The sequence below is a fragment of the Homo sapiens genome, chromosome 2 (assembly GCF_000001405.40).
Source record: "Homo sapiens chromosome 2, GRCh38.p14 Primary Assembly".
Taxonomy (NCBI): Eukaryota; Metazoa; Chordata; class Mammalia; order Primates; family Hominidae; genus Homo; species Homo sapiens.
In genome coordinates this window covers 9,937,307-9,957,703 of record NC_000002.12, presented here as the reverse complement: position 1 = coordinate 9,957,703, position 20,397 = coordinate 9,937,307, and the positions used below count along the sequence as shown (strand labels likewise).

At 47.6% G+C, this 20,397-nt stretch overlaps 1 protein-coding gene and 1 long non-coding RNA gene across 6 annotated transcripts in view, besides 6 other annotated features; one reads left to right on the top strand and one right to left on the bottom strand.

The window, feature by feature from the left end:
- GRHL1 (grainyhead like transcription factor 1) overlaps positions 1-6,011 on the bottom strand; it is a 50,585-nt gene extending 44,574 nt beyond the window's left edge. For 3 of the 5 annotated variants that reach the window (XR_001738726.3, XM_006711882.4, NM_198182.3), the window contains exons 1-2: positions 5,851-6,011; positions 2,603-2,789 (exon numbers count right to left, since the gene is read on the bottom strand). Coding sequence is in view for 4 of the 5 variants with exons in the window: in XM_006711882.4 (XP_006711945.1) it covers positions 2,603-2,789; positions 5,851-5,870 (207 nt within the window). In the remaining variant the exon portion in view is untranslated. The other 2 variants (XM_047444017.1, XM_011510343.3) reach the window with 2 other exon arrangements.
- Positions 5,721-6,260: a silencer, noted in NCBI's record as "silent region_11148". NCBI's record gives its function as "represses an Ori minimal core promoter by ATAC-STARR-seq in GM12878 lymphoblastoid cells {active_cell/tissue: GM12878}" and the evidence as "EXISTENCE:reporter gene assay evidence [ECO:0000049][PMID:35858748]".
- Positions 6,351-6,400: a silencer, noted in NCBI's record as "silent region_11147". NCBI's record gives its function as "represses an Ori minimal core promoter by ATAC-STARR-seq in GM12878 lymphoblastoid cells {active_cell/tissue: GM12878}" and the evidence as "EXISTENCE:reporter gene assay evidence [ECO:0000049][PMID:35858748]".
- Positions 6,501-6,550: a silencer, noted in NCBI's record as "silent region_11146". NCBI's record gives its function as "represses an Ori minimal core promoter by ATAC-STARR-seq in GM12878 lymphoblastoid cells {active_cell/tissue: GM12878}" and the evidence as "EXISTENCE:reporter gene assay evidence [ECO:0000049][PMID:35858748]".
- Positions 6,701-6,780: a silencer, noted in NCBI's record as "silent region_11145". NCBI's record gives its function as "represses an Ori minimal core promoter by ATAC-STARR-seq in GM12878 lymphoblastoid cells {active_cell/tissue: GM12878}" and the evidence as "EXISTENCE:reporter gene assay evidence [ECO:0000049][PMID:35858748]".
- On the top strand, positions 6,851-18,266 carry LOC105373422 (uncharacterized). The gene is made up of 3 exons (XR_922784.4): positions 6,851-6,999; positions 12,906-13,018; positions 17,868-18,266. It is a non-coding gene; the product is annotated as an uncharacterized LOC105373422 (long non-coding RNA).
- Positions 16,456-16,956: an enhancer, noted in NCBI's record as "H3K4me1 hESC enhancer chr2:10080877-10081377 (GRCh37/hg19 assembly coordinates)". NCBI's record gives its function as "activates a minimal SCP1, AML or CMV promoter by ChIP-STARR-seq in primed H9 embryonic stem cells {active_cell/tissue: H9 hESC(primed)}" and the evidence as "EXISTENCE:reporter gene assay evidence [ECO:0000049][PMID:30033119]".
- Positions 19,109-19,448: a silencer, noted in NCBI's record as "fragment chr2:10078385-10078724 (GRCh37/hg19 assembly coordinates)". NCBI's record gives its function as "represses an EF-1alpha promoter that drives an FKBP-Casp9 reporter gene in an ReSE screen in K562 erythroleukemia cells {active_cell/tissue: K562}" and the evidence as "EXISTENCE:reporter gene assay evidence [ECO:0000049][PMID:32094911]".

The window sequence follows — 20,397 nt, the reverse complement described above, 5'->3', positions numbered from 1 at the left end:
GGCGCGGTGGCTCACGCCTGTAATCCCAGCACTTTGGGAGGCCGAGGCGGGTGGATCACAAGGTCAAGAGATCGAGACCATCCTGGCCAACATGTTAAAACCCCGTCTCTACTAAAAACACAAAAAATTAGCTGGGCATGGTGGCACACGCCTGCAGTCCTAGCTACTCGGGAGGCTGAGGCAGGAGAATTGCTTGAACCCAGGAGGCAGAGGCTGCAGTAAGTTGAGACTGCGCCACTGCACTCCAGCCTGGGCGACAGAGCGAGACTCTGTATCAAAAAAAAAAAAAATACTGCTTCATGTATTAACAATATGCTTTTCAAGCTTTATCAAAATTATTATGTAATAATGACTGATGCTTATACAGCCAAAGACCTGAAACAAATAATTCAGTTTATTTGAAAAAGAAAATAGGCCAGGCACAGTGGCTCACGTCCGTAATCCTAATACTTTGGGAGGCTAAGGCAGGAAGATTACCTGAGGCCAGGAATTTGAGACCAGCCTGGGCAACATAGTGAGACTCCTCTCTACAAAAAATTTTAAAATTAGCCAGGCATGACCTATAATCCTAGTTACTCAGGAAGCTGAGGCAGGAGAATCAGTCAACCCCAGGAGGTTGAGGTTGCAGTGAGCTATGACTGCACCACCACACTTCAGCGTGGGCAAGAGCGAGACTCTGCTTCTATTAAAAAAAAAAAAAAGAAGAAGAAGAAGAAGAAAATAAATTTACACCTATCACAAGAAGTCTGACAAGTAAGTACCACTAAAATTGTCACCCTTCATGGACAGACATGAGGATTTACATGCTTCTGAGACGCAGGAGTAGTACACCTAGTGTTATCACACGGGCCTTTCTGGCACAAAACTTGTACCAACGAGTTTCTCCCATTCTCAAAAGTTTCAGTTAAAAATATGTAACTTCATAATTAATGTTTTAGGAACTTAATTTATAGTAAGTCAATAAAACAAGCTATAAGAACAGATATATAATAATTTCCACTTCAAAGGAACTCTTCATGGCTATGTTTCCCTGGTAAGAGTTTCTTCTAGCATCATTAGTTATTACACAAGTTTCTGCTCATATTCAAAGAAAAAAGAGCTTACCTCAATCCCTCAGCCCCAACTTAGTTAGACGCATGGCCTCATACTAGGAAATAATCACCCCATTTTTTTTTTTTGAGATAGGGTCTGTCTCTGTCACCCAGGCTGGAGTGTAGTGATATGGCATGATCTCAGCTCACTGCAGCCTCCAACTCCCAGGCTTAAGTGATCCTCCCACCTCAGCCTCCTAAGTAGCTGAGACTATAGGCATGTGTACTAACCGGCTAATTTCTGTATTTTTTTATTTATTTATTTTTGGTAGAGACAGGGCCTCATCATGTTGCTCAGGCTAATCACCCTAATTTTAATAATAAAACTATCTCCTAGGCTTCTTTCACCTCTGTATTTCTTGTATTAAGGAAAGAATACAGTGCCAGAATGTAGCCAATGGCTAGCAACTGGCGATTCTGGGTAAAGGTATTCAGGAATTAATTATCCTCTTATTTTAAGTTTTATGCAGGTTTGAAAGTTTTTAAAACAAAAAGATAGCAAAAATAAACTGTAAAAAATATACACTACATTCATGAGAAGACACTGTCATTAAGAAGCTTCTGGTAATCCCAAACAGATCCTGTTTTTATACAGGTACTGATGACAACACAATGATTACACAGGTTAGTCACACAGAGTGACAATGAGACAAAGGCCCTGTGGCAAAGCTGTGCTTCAACTCAGTCTGCTGTTTTAAGTAGCACCCTAAAGACGTAGCCACCCCCAAATGTGTGTTTCTGGTCAGAAGGAAGAATGGAGAGGTGAATCCAGAAGGAGAGCGGTATGCACGCTGCATTAGAAAGACAGTGGCCTCGGCCATGGACCAGACTAGGGCCCCAGATGCACACATCCTAGCTGTGACCTCTGAGTGAGAAGTCGCACGCAGGCTGGTAACATGTCTAGCATAATAGTGGCAGCTAGTGTTATCAGGACAATGATGATGAGACAAATCAGTAGTGTCACTTCCAGATAATGAAAATCATGTAAAATTCCATGCAGAGTATAGATTATATTTAATTAAGAGTACTCCAAATCTCTAGAAACAGGCAACAAAACATATCCTGATCTTGGAACTGGACAGTCCTAGACTACAGAATATGATTTCAAAGGCTCTGTAGTATCATTTAGGGAAAGGAAATCATCCTGACTACCCAGGAACAAAGGTGAAAAGGTAAATGACCCCTGCCCACTTTCCATGGCACTAAGAACCACCTTCAGTGAGATGCTCAAACCCAAGAAGGCACATCTAGCATCTTCTTTTACGGTAGCTTCACCTTCTGGATAGAGCCACAGCAGCTGACCGCTTTGCATGTTTTAAAAACAACCCTTTGATTCTACAATCACAGATTTTTAGCTTCGAATCACAGTAAGTCAAAGTACTCATTAAACTATTTATAGTCACTACAGAAGCAACTTGCATGGCATTCTACCAGCAAATGTCTGTTTCTATGCTGCTGAATCAAGTGCATTGGAGACTGCTGTTAAGGGTTTTAAAGGCAGGCAAACCCACCTTGTAGTAGTCATAGAGCAGGCCCAGCGCAGCGGCGCTGTCTTCATCTCCATTGATGCTCATCATCGCTTTGGTCGCTGCAGTGAGAGGGTTTTCCAGGAAGGATTTCCAGGCCTCATCCTCACTAGTGTAGGACCGCCGCTGTGGATAAAGTGCTTCATTCTGAAGAACCAACACTGGCCGTTTGCTTCAGAGAAATTAAAAAAAAAACAAAAACACACACTTTTCTACTGCAAGGTATCATAAGCTACCAATTCCTTGACATTCCTATAAAATAGCCTATTGTTTCATCAATGACCCTAGGAAGTCAAATTAAGACAAGACCAGAAGACAAACCACGTAAGTGCAGACCAATGGGTCCCACAGTAAGACATAAAGTATCTAGGCAGCCAGAGAACTGGCAGTTCACCTACACGTGGAACCCAGGGTATACTATTTGGCAAAAAAGCGAAACAAAACCATCCCCGAGAAAATGCCAGGCTATTCAAATACTTTCCATAAACAAACACAAGGACACAGTAAAGAAAAGAGAATACTTGTTCTCTTCCAACACACAATCAGGACTGTCCCCTCTTGAGAAGAGCGTGTGCCGTTCATCACACTGCTACATGTTATTCCCTCTTTCTACTGTGGCTGCCATGCCTTAAAAATTCCTACCTGAACACAGTGGGGAGGGGAGAAGCAGCAGAAAGAAAAAGGGATCCTTCACGCAATCCTCCAGGGTATATGAGAAAGCCAGAATATTCTACTGATTACCAGCAGATTGAGCATGGAATGTGGCCAAAGGGGACTGTAAATCAATAAAGAGGCATAATTTTCTGGCATGGGAGTTAACTGTTTATCTTAGAGATAAACACTTAAGGATATCCAACAATAAATGAAGCCACTGAACAAAAAGTTTTAAAAAAAATAGGTGGGAAAATCTGGCTTTTAAAAAATCTTTGCTAGTTTTCCACATTGCACAAGAACTGTTTCATTTTAACACTGTAGTTTGGTGGGAAAAATCCAAAAAAATCAATGGCGATCTTAGTGAAACCTTACAGAAGATTTAATTTAAAAGATTAAAGCAAACATTACTAATTCCAAAAACTTGAAATGTAAACAGTCTCAACAACTGTTCGGTTGGTACTATTTAATAAGTCAATAAAGAGAAAAAATGGAACACTGACTCTAGCAAAACAAAGCAGTTTATTTTCAAGGAGAAAAATAAATTTTAAATGTTTGGAACTCCTCTGAATTATTACAATTCTAACAAGCAAATTGAAGGACTGGCTCTCATTGCAACACACAAATGAAATATGTAAATGGCCTAAAGGTGACCTGCCTATTTTAAAAGTGAATGTAGAAAGACTGATTATCTTTTCAAGTAATCAACAAAGGTTAGCGTTTGGGAGTCACCCAGGGCCTTTAAGAACAGATACAGATTTAGAAAAAGGAGAACATCTTCAAAAAAGGGGAAAAAAATCCAACAATGTATCCTCAGTCAAAATGAAGTGTTATTTGAAAGCCAATGTTTTTACTCACGTTTTGGCATAAACGTTACATTTGGTAAGAAAGTCTTGAGGTGGTATACTATTTTAACACAAAACAAACATAAAAGACTGTTCAAAGCCAGCAGATCATTTGTCTAAAAATGGAGAAGATTGCTTACACAAATCTCAACTTTAAAGAAAATAAAGAAATATACAAAGTGGCATTCCCTGAGCCATCAGGACCAGAGTACAACAGCTACTGAACGGCTGGTGCCATGGACTGATTGACTGATGTACTGCTAAGCTATAATTAATAGCGTAATAGCTACTTCCAGAAGACTATGACAGCACTTGGCTGTTCAATTCCCTTAATGCTAGTTTTCAACTTCCCTTCTTCTCCCACCCACATCCCAAATTTGTACAAGCAATAGAAAACAGAGAAAGAAATGGCTTTATGTTTGGAATCACCCTGAAGGTGTTTCATATTTCCAAAGCCTGCCTAAGGCCAAAATGTTAGCTTTGGAAAATTTGCCTTATCTAAACTATACGTCAAGAAATAAACACAAAACCAGTTGCCTTTCTTAGTCCACTTCCTCATGACAGTCAGGAAGTAGGCTTCAGTCGCCGAAGGCTCATCATCACTTTCAGGTGAGCCTTAAACTCCGCGTCTGCGATCTCTCAGACTTCTGAAATATGTTTCAGGCAATAATTTAACTGCATATTCTACAACATAAGAGTAATCCATTTAAGATACTCCATACAAAATATCTATCTCATCCAGAAAAAGAACACACTGACAAAAACCGATCCTTCACAAATAACTAAGAAACTGGGAGGGGTACCTATCTGCCTTAAACTTCCTGATCTGAAATATACTGACTGGCCTGGTGCGATTTCCCTGTTTTTTCTTTAGTAAGTTTTTAAAATTTTTAGGACAATTTTATATTTTCAGAAAAGCTGCAAAGAAAATACAGAAAACTCCCTCGCCCAGTTAATCCCCCATGCCTTATTACACTACCACCTCACATTTGTCGAAATACGCTTTTAAATCACACACTCTAAAAAGCATATTAGCTTGTACAGTACTTTCTCGTTTAACACCCGGATTTCAAAGTTTCATCCTCTTGATTCTCTCGAGCACTAAAAACACGGTAATCTGTAATTACCATCAATGATGCAAGTGGCAAAATAACTCCTACAGCCGTTTTCCCACTCATGCCGCCAGCCAGGGAAAAGAAAACGCCCGGACATCGGGGCACTTCAACCTTTCCCTACATTTCTGTTTTGGAGGTTCCAGCAGGTCGCCGAGTGACGAGCCTGAGACCACAGATTACCTGGAGAAGTCCACCTGTCCCGACGCGGCGCGAGCCCCACCAGGCTCCCGAGGCCGACCGGGCAGGAGAGGGGGGCGGGGAGGCCCGGGGGCGTTGGCTGCGCCCCGACCTCGCGCCGCACCCGACCGCGCCGGGGGCCCGGACCCCAAGGTGCGCGCCCGAGGGGACCCAACCTGGCCGCGGAGGAGGGGAGGAGGGTGGCCCCTCCGGTGTCGAGTTTCCCCGAGGACAGGGTCTCTCCTCCCGAGGCTCCGACCGAACAAAGAGCACGGCAGGGCTAAGGGGCAAAGGCCGTGGCGGCGTGGAGTGGACAGCGGCCCCCGGCTCGCGCCCCGCGCCCGCCCGCCCGCGCGGCCTCGGGTCTGCGCCCGGCTCGCTCGCTGCAGGTGCGGCCCCTCAGCGCGGCCCCCCCGCGGCGGCCGGACTCCTGCGCCTCACTCACTTGTCGTACTCCTGTGTCATCGCGCCCGCTCGCCGCTGCCGGGCCGCAGAACTGGACTTTCGGGTTGGGACAGTACACCCGATCCGGGGGGAGGAGGCGGCGGCGGCGGCTGCGGGTCCGGAGCGGCGGCCCCGACGGGTTGGGTTTGCTTTTCTCGCTCTGAGCCGGCTCCGCGCGGGCTGCGCGCACTGGGCGCCGGGCTCGGCCGCTCATTGGCTGGCGATGCGCCGGCTGGGGGCGAGGCCTCGGGGCTGGGAGGCCGGTCGCGCCTCCTGATTGGTCGGCGAGAAGAGCGCCGGGGCGGGGCTGACGGGGACGAGCGGCGCGGGGCGGGGGGCGGGGGCCGCGCGTTCCGCGAGGTTGCGCCCGGGACTGCGCTCCCGGGGCTGCGCGCCCGACTCGCGGCCGTACGCGCCTGCCCTGACAGGAGAGGGAGCGCTGCGGCTGCGGCGCGCACCCGCCAACCTCCGCGCGCACCGAGAGCGCCCCCGCTCGCGCCCCGCCACCGCCCCCGCCGCCCCCGCCGTCCCCGCCGTCCCCGGCCATCCCCTTCGCGACGAGCCCCGGCCGTACAGCCGCCTCCTTCTTCGCTCACTCAGGCCTCCGCGCCCCGTGCCCACATTGCCCGCTGTTCCGGCCCCAGCGCCCCGCGCTGCCCCTGCGCTCGCCCGGCGGGGGCGCCTCTGCCGGTCGCCGCGCTCCCCGGTCGCGCGTCTCACCTCTCGGTTCTCGCAGGCTGTCACGCCCGAGTCCCGTGGCTTCCCCCGAGAGCCGTCTCCGGAATGTCCCTTCTCCTGGCCCACCGCGGCCGCGCGCTTTTAGGATTTCTTGCCCTCGCAGCTCCCGCGGTCCCCTCGGCGGCAGTCCCTGGGGCTCCGCGATGTCTGTGCCCCGCAGCCTCCCGGGCGCCACTTCCCCGCGCGGCCGCCCCACGCTGCCCGTGCAGTCGCGCGCCCCGGGCCGGCCCCGGGCACCACTCCACCGCGACGGCCCCCACTTGTCCTTCCCGAGCTGCCGTCTTTCCCAGGGTCCGCTCACTGAGTCCCCACATGCCCAGCGTCGGACCTGACCCTCGGACAGGCGCGGCCCCAGACGCCGGGGACAGGGCAGTCAACAGAACAGACACAACTCCTCGCCTTCCTAGTTGGGGTAACGGGCAATACAAAAACAAGTAAATGGTGTGGCTGGTTGGAAGGTAAAGCAGGCAGGCCCTGGGGAGGCGGGGAGGAGCGAGGCTTTCAGGCTTGAAGGAGATGAGGGGCCACGAAGGTGGGACTGTACCTGAGGCAGGGACCCTGGTGTGTTTTGTGACCCTTGAGGAGACCCGGGTGGCTGGTGGGGCACAGGGAGGCGGGAGCTGCGGTCAGAGATAGTGGGCGCAGGGGAGCGGATTGAGCAGGGCCTTGCCGGCTTCCGTAAGGACTGTGGCTTTCCCTCTGGGCTAGGTGGGGACGCCTTGGAGGGGCTTGGAGCAGGGTAGTGACAGGGTCTCACATTTTAAAATAGTTCTCTGCTGCTGCGTGGTGGGGACCAGGTAGGAGGCCATTGCCATGATGCAGGCCGAGGGCAATAGAGTGAGGTGGTGGGAAGTGGCCGAATTCTGGATATGCTTTGAAGGTGGGACCAGCAGGATTGTCTGAAAATTGGATATGGGGTGTGAGAGAAAGAGAGAATCAAGGATGACTACAGCGTTTCCAGCTGGGCAACTGGAGGAATGATTTGCCATCCCCTGGGATACAGAAGACCTGGGGCATAGAAGATTTGGGGGAGAACGAGAGTCTGTTTTGGACGTGCTAAGCTCAAGATGTATGGGAGATAAAAATCCATGAATCAGGTGGGCTCCTGGGTACGAGGCTGGAGTGCAAGGGAGAAGTCTGGGCTGAAGCTCACATCTGGGCGCCGCCCACGTCTAGAGGCCATTTAAAGCCATGAGAAGGCAGGAAGGAAAGAGGATGGGACCCATGCTGGATCCAGGAGCCTCCGACACAGAAAGGCTGGGAGGAAGAGCCAGTGGAGGAGACAGAAGACGGGGACACCGAGGTCGGAAGCAATGGAAGCGTGGAAGCCAAGGGAAGGAGGTGAAGTGAGGAGCAGCATGAGGTCACAGGGCCCTCCTGCAGCCAGCAGTCCCTCCTCTGTGCCCTGGTCCAAGGCCTTCAGGGACCGGAATCGGCAGCCTCACTTGAGACCGCCCTTCGCAGTTTCTGTCCTCTGACCCCGGGCCCAGCACTGGATCCATGCAGCCTGTTGTTTGTTCTTACCACTAGTTTCCTGTTTAAATCATTTATTATTTTTTTCTTTTCCTTTTTTTTTTTTTTTTTTTTTTTGAGGCGGAATCTCCCTCTGTTGCCCAGGCTGGAGTGCAGTGCCGTGATCTCAGCTTACTGCAACCTCTGCCTCCTGGGTTCAAGCGACTCTCCTGCCTCAGCCTCCCAAGTAGCTAGGATCACAGGCGCCCACCACCACGCTCGGCTAATTTTTCTATTTTTAGTAGAGATGGGGTTTCACTAAGTTGACCAGGCAGGTCTCAAACTCCTGACCTCAGGCAATCTGCCCGCCTCGGCCTCTCAAAGTGCTGGGATTACAGGCATGAGTCACCGCGCCCTGCCAAATCAATTATGTTTTCTAAGCACGCTAATTTAAGAAAAATGCTAGTCAATAACAGCACAGATGGTCCCAAATAGGGTACAAGTCATCAGGGTGGTGCCAAAGTGACTGACTTGGGAACAGTGTCCCTCTACCTGCCTTTCTTCTATTTCCTCTGACCCGGCTCCACACTGCCACTGGAGTGGCCTTTATAAAACACAGATTTCTTGTCACTCAGTTATACTCACCATAAAGTCCACACTCCTGAGCTCAGCCTCCCCTTGGCGGCCCAGCACTTCCCTTACTGCTCACTCCCAAGCACCGTCCCCGCATTCCCTGCTCCTTCCCTCCATGCTTGGCCCACTCCACTCAACTTCCAGCCTGGCTCATTTCCTCCAGGTGGCCTTCCCAACCCTCTAGGCTGGACAAGGTGTCCTGTGGGATCCACAGCGCCTTCTGCATTGCCCATCACCATGTTTGTCTTATGGGCTTTCCTGTTTGTGTCTGTCTCCACCAAGTGTGAGCTTTTCCAGAGAGGGCAGCGGTTGTACCACCTTCATTTTTATGTTCCTGGTGCCTGGTATATACATAGAAAATATCCAGCAAATGTCTACTGAATGGATGCAGTCCTCTGCAGGCATGCGTTCTGCGCCCAGTCTCCTCCCTTCTGTAGCATAGCTAGGGCTCTTTTAAATGACCCCCCCCACCGTTGCAGAAGATGAAAGTCCTTGAGCCTAATACATGGTAGGCACAAAATAAATAGGGGATGAATGAAGAAATATCCAATCATAAAGCCAAAAACAAGAACAGGAAGAGCCTGAGGTTATTAGACCATAGCTGTAGTAATTAAAAACATTGGGTCTATTTTGTCAATTTGAATATGGGATTGTTTAGTTTGTCTCTAATAGCTCTCTAAAACAGAAATGAAAATCTCTATCTATGACCTGTTGCCATGAACCCTGTTTATTTCATTTTATTTTATCTGAGACAGGGTCTCACTGTGTTACTCAGGCTGGAGTGCAGTGGCACCATCACAGCTCACCGCAGCCTTGACTTCCCAGGCTCAAGTGATTCTCCCACCTCAGCCTCCTGAGTAGCTGGGGCTACACGTGCACACCACCACACCTGGCTAGTGTGTATGTGTGTGTGTGTGTATGTTTTGTAGAGACAGGGTCTCACCATATTGCCCAGGCTGGTCTTGAACTCCTGTGCTCCAACGATCCTCCCATCCTCCCAGCCTCCCAAAGTGCTGGGATTACAGATGTGAACCACCATGCCTGGCCTACCCTCTTCATTTTTAAGTTCTTTACTATTTGTTTAAATTATTAAAGTAATATATGCACATAGTTTTTATGGAAGAAAAAATGCTGGGCGTGCTGGCTCACGCCTGTAATCCCAGAGCTTTGGGAGGCCGATGTGGGCAGATCACCTGAGGTCAGGGGTTTGAGACCAGCCTGGCCAACATGGTGAAACCCCATCTCTAACAAAAATACAAAAATTAGCCGGGCATGGTGGTGGGTATCTGTATTCCCAGCTACTCGGGAGGCTGAGGCAGGAGAATCGCTTGAACCCAGAAGGCGGAGGTTGCAGTGAGCCAAGATCGCGCCACTGCACTCCAGCCTGGGTGACAACAAGACTCCATCTCAAAAATAAAAAAAGATAGAAAGGGATTAGGAACGGGACAAAGAAAGGAGAAAGGAAGAAATTGAAGCTCTGCAGAAGGATACAGAATGCAGTCCCTGGCCTCCTCCATTCCCAGCCCCTAATCCTTGAGACAACCACTGTGAACAATTTGTGTTGATCTTTCCAGATATCTTCTGTCTGTACAAGCACTCACATGGTTTATTTTCTTAGACAAATGGGATTCGGACTGCACAATCTTCCACAGCTTGCTTGTTTTTCCTTTCTATGGTTTAAACATTTTCCACATCAGCACATAGAAATCTAGTTCACTTTAAAAAATGGCTGTATGGTGTTTCCTTGAATGGCTATATGATAACTTGAATGTATTGGTGAGCAATTAGGGTTTTTTCCCCTAGCTTTTCTTAATTACAAACATTCACAATAACACATTCCTCTAACTACATTTTTGCACACTTGATCAGGTATTGCCATAGGATAAATTCCTAGAATCGGAGTTACTGAGAAAAGGGAATGCACAGCTGCCATTTGGTTTTTTGTTTGTTTGTTTTTTGAGATGGAGTTTGGCTCTTGTTGCCCAGGCTGGAATGCAGTGATGCAATCTCTGCTCACTGCAACCTCCACGTCCCGGGTTCAAGTGATTCTCAAGCCTCAGCCTCCAGAGTAGCTGGGATTACCAGTACCTGCCACCACACCCGGCTAATTTTTGTATTATTAGTAGAGATGGTGTTTTGCCATGTTAGCCAGGCTGGTCTCACACTCCTGACCTCAGGTGATCCACCCATCTCGGCCTCCCAGAGTGCTGGGATTACAGGCATGAGCCACTGCCACCGCACCTGGCCTGCAGCTGCCATTTTCCTGGCTCTTGCCGGATTGTTTTCCAAAAGGCTGCTCTTATTTAGATTCCTACCACAGAATATCAGACTGCCTACCGTGCCGCACCCTAGACAACCGTGGGCAACATTGAAGTTTGCTTGGCTAGTCTATTCGATGAAAAATGGGATCTCGTTGTTTTGAATTGCTTTTTTTTTTAAGTTATGAGTGAGGTTTTTCATCTTTTTATTTGTTTGGCAATAATCTTTTTAAACTCAAAGGTAGTGTTTTTTCAAAGAAAGAGGATCTTTGAAGGTACCTTCCCAAGCCATGAGTTTCAGAGTAGAGAACTAATTTGGGACCCCCGCTCCCATTGGAGACCATATGGTACGGTACTAACAGGCTCATGGGTGCATTGAGTGGGGTTGGGAGGTGGCTAGTAGATTTAGAGTTACAAGACCTGGGTTCTAGTCCAGGTTCTTCTATTGACCAGCAGGGTGATCTCAGTAGAGTCACTGCACCCCTGTCACAGAGTTCTCTGAGCGCGTCCTGAATCTCAGGCACCTGGCATTGCCTGTGCTTTTCCTCTCTCCCTTGCCACCCAAGTTACATCTTTAGTGGCCAACTTCAAATGCCAGCTCTTCCAGGAACCCTTCCCATCCCAGTAGGAGGACTCCCCAAGCACCTCCGCTGTCCTTCGTGAAGCCACTCATCGCAAGTGGCTCTGCCTTTACTTGACTCAGTTCCGCACAATTCCGAGGGAGGAACTGAGGCAGATACAGATTCACATGCCAGGGCTGCCTCTGATTTTTATCTTTAGTCTACTTCGCTGCCAGTCCTTGCTTTTCTTATCTGTAAAACATGGAAAATACATCAAGAGACGTGGAGTTAACTATGAATAAAGTACTTAAAGACTCACACAATGCCTGGCAGACAGACGCTGGCAGATGGCGTTCATCTTCTTTAAAGACTAGGCAGTAGGAACCCTGTCCAATTCCTCCACATCCTTGTTGGTTGGACATGTTACCTAATCCATGTGTGGAATTCCCCACATTCAGGGACTTCAGCCCTGATGAAACAGCCCATATTGAAGGGACATCTCAGGGGGCTGAAAGATGATGGCAGAGCCTTCACCCTGACATCCAAGCACCTGTCCCCCCAGTTCATCAGAACCCGGGGTCTCAAGGTCGTGCCAGTGCGAGATGAAAGTCTTTCCACTCCGGAGAAACTGGTGTGGGAGGCAGGGAGTGTAAAATCTCCACCCTCACCACCAGCTCTGTGACAAAGTTTCTTACCCTCTGAGCCTCACTTTCCTCAGCTGTGGGATACGGGATAATCATTCCTATCACCAAAGGTTGTGTTTGTTTTGGTTTAAGAAAAGTATCTCAGACAATGCCAGGCACATTTCAGGAACTAGGTCAATATTAAACTTTCCACCTCCCCATTTTCCCTCACTGTAGCATAAGCTGCTTAAGGGACAAAAACTATATCTCATATTTTTAAAACGTCCTCATCATCTGGCATAGAGACAAGCATATGGTAGATGATCAACAATTACTGTAGTTATTCAGGATGATAATGACATGTACCTTCTTTTGGCAGAATTCAGTGCTCAATGTGATCACATACCTGAGCTCATTTGATTCTTAAAACAACCCTTGGAAGTAGACAGGGTTCTACCCACCTTGTAGATGGAGAAACAAAGTCCAGAGAGATCAAATAACGCAATTCAGTCTCATAGTCAATAAGTTTGGGACTAGAACCCAGATATCTTGTTTCCAAACCCCGTATTTTCCTTCTAGTGGTGGTACTGCCAATGGGTGGGTGTTTCTGCATGAGATTTTGGGTTCAGCCCACAGCACTCATTACAGAGCACCTGGACACGTGGCAGCCGTGGCAGGTGCTAGTGACAGTGTCTGGCTCAGAAGATGGCATTTGATTACTCTCTAAGTTGATTCTCAAACTTAGAGAACACACTGACTGTGGATTAGCTCTCGGTTGTTTGGTATCCACAGGCTCTGTTTTCCTGTGTCTTCCGTGACACTGTCTTGAGCGTGCTTGCTTATGAAGGTTTGACACCCGTCCCCACCATACCTGCCTGCCACTGCCAGGATGACTGGAGTCTCAGGTGAGTCTTGTCAAATACTTGGGACTTGACCCAGACCCAGTTGCCAAGAAGCCAGCAGCCAGCTCTCCCTGTTTCAGAATGTAGGCAGAAGCAGCTATGTCATGTTGGGTGTCACCCACTTGTTGGCAGCTAGAAGAACCTAGGTCTCTCACATTCTTTTCCTGTGGCTTCACTGTAGAGTGATCATTCCAAGGGAGGCTCAATAGTTGCAACACAGTTACCAAAAAGCCCTGGGCTCAAGCGCCCTGGCCTTAACCTCCAGTGAACCTCTCTTGCTTCTGACTGACACCGAGTGGGGTGGAGCCATTTGGCTCAATGCCATTTCAAGCAAACACCCCAAACAGGGGAGCTGAGAGGCTGTGGTGAGGCTTGCTGGCTCACAGGTGCATATTTCACTCTTTGAAGAAAGGGTTATTAATGATCAAACATCTCTATTATAAAATAATGTCCATTTAAAATTGTTGGAGCTGCTGGGTGTGGTGGCTCACGCCTGTAATCCCAGCACTTAGGGAAGCCAAGGCAGGTGGATCACCCGAGGTCAGGAGTTCAAGACCATCCAGCCTGATCAACATGGTGAAACCCCGTCTCTACTAAAAATACAAAAATTAGCCGGGCATGGTGGTACATGCCTGTAATCCTAGCTACTTGGGAGGCTGAGGCAGGAGAATCACTTGAACCTGAGAAGCGGAGGTTGCAGTGAGCCAAGATCGCGCCATTGCACTCCAGCCCGGGCGACAAGAGTGAAACTCCATCTTAAAAAAAAAAAAATTGTTGGAGCATCTCACCACATTTTAGTACAAGAGAGATTTATCTTTGCTTTATAGGTAGGGAAAAAGCAAAGAGGGATTAAATCATCCAGCCAAAATTGACATTTTATTAACTGTGTTTTTACAGTAATCCCTCCCCAGCTGCCAGCTCCCTTACTTGAAGTCTGAGCCTTTTGCAACCCATGTTGATATGTCTTTTCTAAACCATGATATTACTGATTTCAATATCTGTACTTTTGAGTTGATTCCCGTAGTATTAATATAGTCACTGATTTTAACATTAATTTTAACTTAAAGGTTTTGTTTTAATCTGCTGTGACCAAATCTGGAATCACTATAGCTGTAAATAAGTAGATTTATCTAGTATGTTAAATGAACAAATGTAAAATGTTCCATACAGCACAGGAGCTTTCAAATCAGTGGGCATCACTGTTGGTGATGATTAGAAAAAGGAAGAGCTAGAGGCTGAAAAAAGGTAAAGGGAAAAATCAGGAGTTTTTTTTTTTTTCTGAGACCGAGTCTAGCTCTGTCGCGCAGGCTGGAGTACAGTGGCACGATCTTGGCTCACTGCAACCTCCGCCTCTTGGGTTCAAGCAATTCTCCTGCCTCAGCCTCCCAAGTAGCTGGGATTACAGGCGCCTGCCACCACGCCCAGCTAATTTTTGTATTTTTAGTAGAGACGGGGTTTCACTGTGTTGGCCAGGCTTGTCTTGAACTCCTGACCTCAGGTGATCCGCCGGCCTTGACCTCCCAAAGTTGCTGGGATTACAAGCGTGACAAGCGTGAACCACCGTGCCTGGCCAAATCAGGAGAATTTTGTGATAAGCATCAGAGGGAAAAGAAGGGAAGCAGGTCTTGGAGTTTTGGGATTGCTCTTCAGGAGTGGCAGAGACTTGTGTGTGTTGGGCCTGAAATTATCATGGGCACAACCATGCTCTCCTGGTTTAGAACTGGGGAGCTCCTTGAGCATTATTTACTTAGGTATTGTGGTCCTTTTAATAAAAGTTCCTCAAGGCATCATAAAACCTCAAGTTACTCTGCTCTGGGGCCATTATGGGGATCAGCAGACGGCAGGCACTAACTGACACGAAATTAGAGAGCTGTTCGTGTAGATGGAGGACCAGGTAACATGCAAAAGCCAAATCTTAGTATGCATAGGATTCTTAATAAAGCTAAATAAATGTAGTCATCGCATTGAAAATGCAGAGAAGAGCAAACCTGGAAAGTTTCTGATGAGCTGGTAAGTGGAAATTAATTGTATAAAACTTGTAATTACAAACTAGATGTGTAACATTTCCTAGATATGCTTCTTTGGTATGTGGCCTCTATTATCATTGTGATATTTTTCCTGTAAGATCTCAAGTTTCTTAATCTTAAAATCTACCAAGCTGTCAGGTTGGGGAGGGAGCGCTAACAGTAGTGCCTACCTGCCCTGTGGGTACTGGCATCTGTGTGCACAGAAAGCTCATGGGCCAGCACAAGGAGGCTCCATCTAGAGACCCAGGCATGTGGCACAGACGGTGCATGCCCTTACGGAGGTCTGAGCTCTGTGCTCGGAAACCATGAACTCTGCTTGGGGAGCTGAGGTAGGGAGGGTTGAAGGGAGATGGCATAGAGCAAGAGTCCTAAAGGAAGAAGAGAGAGAAGGACATTTCTGATAGAGCATACAACACAGGCAAAGGCCTCAGGGTGTGAGAGGCCATGGCTTGCCTGAGATCGAGGGCGCAAGGCAGGGCGGGGGATGGGAAAAGTGTTGGGGCCACACTCTGATAGCTCAACCAGAACACACTGTCTCTTGCCTCTAGGCAACAGGAGCCTTGGGAGGATGCTGCATATTGTGGGGGTGGGGGGGGTGGGGGGTGGGTTTAGACCCGATTTGGGAAAATAACTGGCAGAGGGGCAATGTGTGTTGGAGGGGAGAGAGCTTTGCAGCTCCTGGGAGAACACGAGGAGCGCCAGAGCTGGGCAGTGACTGTCGAAGGAGGGCGGAGTCCAGAGGTGCTTGGTGGTAGAAAGTCAGCGAAGTGAGGATGAGATTTGGAGGTGACAGGGAGGGAGGGGCTGGAGATTTATGACTTGGCGCAATTAGGTGGACGGGGCTGTCACTGAGTCAGGGAAGGCAGAGGAAGAACAGGTTTGGGGTGGAGGCATGGAGGAGGGGTGGTGAGGATATATGCTAGTTGTAAATGATCTAGTTTTCTTCTGAGCAGCTTTTGGGCTCCTTAGATTCCAAACTGACATCACCAGGGGTTGAGTCTTGGTGAGGCAGCACGGTAGGCTGGCCAAGCCCACAGACTTCAGCCAACAGCCTGGAATCAGAGCCCGGCTCCATGCTTACCAACACGGCCCTGGGGATGTAATTGAACCTCTGTGTGTCTCCAGGTCGTCCTTTGTACAATATTACAGGACCGTAGGGCTGCTAAAAGTATGGATAAAAGAGTCCATACATGTGAAATGCCTGGCCCACTCTAAGCACTATATAAATATTTGATATGGCCACAGGAATGCCAGGGGCGAAACTTAGGCCCATTTCCTCCTTCTGTCTTCAAATAACTTCAGTTTGACTCAAAACCAACATTTGTAGGCAGACAACTGAGCCCATTCACAGAATGGTGAAATCACTGAATAGTGAAAACAGTACAGCAGTAGCTGATCAGAAAGTGGGAAGCTTTTTGTAATTTTCCCCTTTCTCATCACTACTTTCATCAAAGCATTTACTGAACATCTGTTGGATTTAGGGTTCTGTAGGAGCCATGTCTCACGAAAGCCTGTCTAGTTAGTAAACCAGGACACACATAAGCAGGCTATGATAATGTCAAAAATAGGCTGTGCTGTAGGTGCGGAGGAATTGAAGAAAGTGAGTGGAGACAGAATGATCTGAGGGGTGCAGGATCCTGGGTCCCTACCCTTCCTGGGCAGCAGTGGGAGATGGGAGGGCGTGATAGAGCTGGGTTCTAAGAGGCCATTCCACAGCTCTGACCCTTGGGCTGTGGTGAGGAGGGGCAGGCGAAACCAACATTACTGACTTTACTACCTGATTCCCATTCCACATGAGGGCCGTGGGCTGCACTTAGCACGGGGCAATTGCAACAAAACAAAACAACAAAAAACAAAACCAGTTTTAGAGCGGAAGAGCTGACCCTGTGAACTGCTGTGGCAGGATGGACAGTGGAGGGGGAAGAGGCACAGAGCCCACCTCCCTACCCCCGGGGGCTCTGGGGCCGGAGCAGGTGACCGCTTGGGACCAGAGGAGCCTTTCCAGGGAGATTTTTATTCTGGTGTCAGTTGCTAAGGAGAGAAAGGTAAAAATAAGTATTCATGTTTTACAACATTTTCTTATCCTCGAACATGGCAAAGAATACATTTTTTTCCTACTTTAAACCTTGGGGGGAGTTTTAAAAATTCAGGACCACCTTTTTCATTGTAGGTAATGTTTAACTTACTTACTTAATTTAAATTAATGTGGACAACAATGGTGACAAAAGGCAACTGCGTTTAAGTGGTATTCTAACTAAAAATTCCTTTGGGAGTGTCTGCAAGTCACCCAGTTCAACGCAAATATCCATAAAACATGTACTAATTGTCCCAGAAGGGAATGATTGTTTCAGAAGGGCAGAAGGCCAACTGAGCTGAAATACCAGGTTCTTAATTTATAAAGTCAATAAAAGCACTCTTTTGTAAGCTCTTCTGAAGTCATAGCATATTATCAGGTAAGTCTGGCACTAAAGCTCTTTATGCTTAAATACTTCACAAGGGCACGAAACAAGGGAACATACACTTAGAGCTGCTTGAATTCGTTTTGTGAGAGACTTAATACTGTGTGAATTTACTCAGCTTTCAGGAACACAGAGGCATTTTAATTTTTTTAAAAAGTCACCAGCTACATACTCAAGATAAAAACACACACTCTTAACTACCTGCAGTTTATAATAATCCACAGAACTTTTACAGCAGGCCTACTTTGGAAACTGTATTCAAGGTCTTGCTGAAGATTCGGGAAATCATGCTCCTTTCTTATTTAAACAATATGTTGTCTTCTTGTGTGAATAGAGGGATGAATTAATACTCCTTTTTTTTTCTAGGTGGCTTTGTGCCAATGGAGGGAAAAAGAAAGATAACAAGGAACTAGACACTGTGGGTGAACTCCTGGCCTCCTGCTGCGAGGCGCCTGAGGACCCTGGGCTCTCCCTCCTCGGTTTGGGCTTCAGAGGACCCTGGGCTCTCCCTCCTCGGTTTGGGCTTCAGAAGGTGGCTCCACTTCTGGGTGGCAGTGACAGGCAGACCTGCTGAGAGCCCAGAGAGAAATACTACCCTGCAGGGAGATAAGGTCATCAACCTGCCACCACTGGTATATTCCCATAATAATGTCCACTGGTCCCAGTCGAGAGGCACCCACTCCTTTTCCTCTTGTCTAACACAGGAGTCTCGAGCTGCCTAAAGAAACCCATTTTTGGGAAGAGGATTAAAAACAAACAAACAAACAACAAAACTGTGCTCCAAATGTATATAACCCTGTAGATTAATGAAACATTTGGGCCAAAGTTCTGTATTCTCATAGGCAAAGACTCTCATAGTATTAATATATTCACTGATTTTAAATTATTTTTAACTTAAAGGTTTTGTTTTAATCTGCTGTGATGAAATCTTGGATCACTATAGCTGTAAATGAGTAGATTTATCTAGATATGTTAAATGAACAAATGTAAAATGTTCGATACAGCACAGGTGCTTAATAAGTTGGCTTCAGAGCCGTGTTTTTCCAACATGTTCTGATGATCCAAGTTTGATACTTAAGACAATTAAAAACAAGAAATTTAACTTAGTTTCAGCACATGTATGGTATATATATTTGTATGGCTATGAGCTTAGGCTGGTCGTAGACATAAGACAATTGAAGCACTCTTTTCCACAGGTATCGGCCGCATTCTGTTTCACTCCCTATAAGCATTTGATTTTGCACTACAGGTATTACTGAGACCATGTGGAATCTCACTTAGTTTTATTTCCCTTTAGGGTAGTTGCCTAAATCATAAAATTATGCTTCACTGTAGTGGTAGGAAATCTAATTTATTTATTTATAAGATGGAGTCTCATTCTGTTGCCCAGGCTAGAGTGCAGTGGCATGATCTCAGCTCACTGCAACCTCTGCCTCCTGGGTTCAAGCGATTCTCCTGCCTCAGCCTCTCAAGTAGCTGGGATTACAGGCACCTGCCACAAACTCTCAGCAAATTTTTGTATTTTTAGTAGAGACAGGGTTTCACTATGTTGGCCAGGCTGATCTTCAACTCCTGACCTCAAGTGATGCACCCACCTTGGCCTCCCAAAGTGCTGGGATAACAGGCATGAGCCACCCTGTGCCCACACCTGGCCAAGAAATAATCTAATTTTTTTAAAAAGACATAAAATGTGTTCATGAAAGAGATTCCACCCAAATCAACACATAAATCACTCTAGTGGCAAAGTAGTTTATTTATTATGTTTCCTTAAAGGAGATTAAGACTCGACTCCTCTCCCAGCCGGGGCAGCCCGGGAACTCAGCGCCCCCCTCCAGTGGTGCCCAGAGCCTCCCAGCGCCATGTCCATCTCTCTTCCTCTTGGCATCCATTGTGGCACTCAGCCCACCTCTGCCTCATTTCATGATTGTGTGCTTTTGTAGTTTAGAAACAGCTGCGGCAAGCATTTAGGTAAAGGCCTCAAGCAGACAACCTACAGGGTGCTCCGTGTCAGTGCAGGTGCCTGGGCAGAGAAGCTGCGGCACAGCTGCAGAGGTGGCCCTGGGGGTGGCGGGGGCCTCTGCTATCAGGAGGATGTGGAAGGCCACTGTGGGGCAGCCCTGCACGGGACAGAGGGCTTTTGGGACCACGGGAACTGAGAGGAGCCGTTAGGAGGGGGTCACGGGCTGCAAGTTCCACAGTGGGGCCCTGTTGTCCCAGCCAGCAGAAGCACCAGTGACTGTCCCACCCTGGAGCCTGGAGCGAACCAGAGGACTTGTTAAAACAGATTGTTGGACCCACACTGTGTTTCTGGATTGGGAGTCAGGAGTAGGCCTGAGAATGTGCATTTCTAATGAGTGCCCAGGTAATGCTGATGTCACTGGTCCAGGGACCACACTTTGAGAACCAATGTGATAATCAAGAAATGTCTTTTGAATCAAATTTACTAAAATATTCATAAACCTTTCTCCACCCGAAGGATGCAAACGAAAGGGAGACACAGAGACTGTCAAAGCTATAGGCAGTCTGCAGGTGATGATTTTATTTTTTTAAATGTGGTTTGGAATCTGGAGTCTGAGACCTGGACCCAAATCTCACCACAGCTTTGTGCTGGCTGAGCACCCTGGGAAGGAAGGTAACTTCACAGCGGAACCCCTAGCCCCACACCTATTATCTAAAGACGATTGCATGGCCCCCAGAACAGTGGGGACTGAATTTCGTATGGCAGGACCTCATCTGAATATACAGTAGGTGCTCAATACGTGCTATTACCCTCTTCCCTTTTTGGCAGTAGACAGATAAGCTTTTTCTATGACTGATACCATTTTTAGATGTGAAAACACTGACTCCTAGAGAGTAACATTTCATCACTAGCCTTCAATGGTAATTCATACAATTG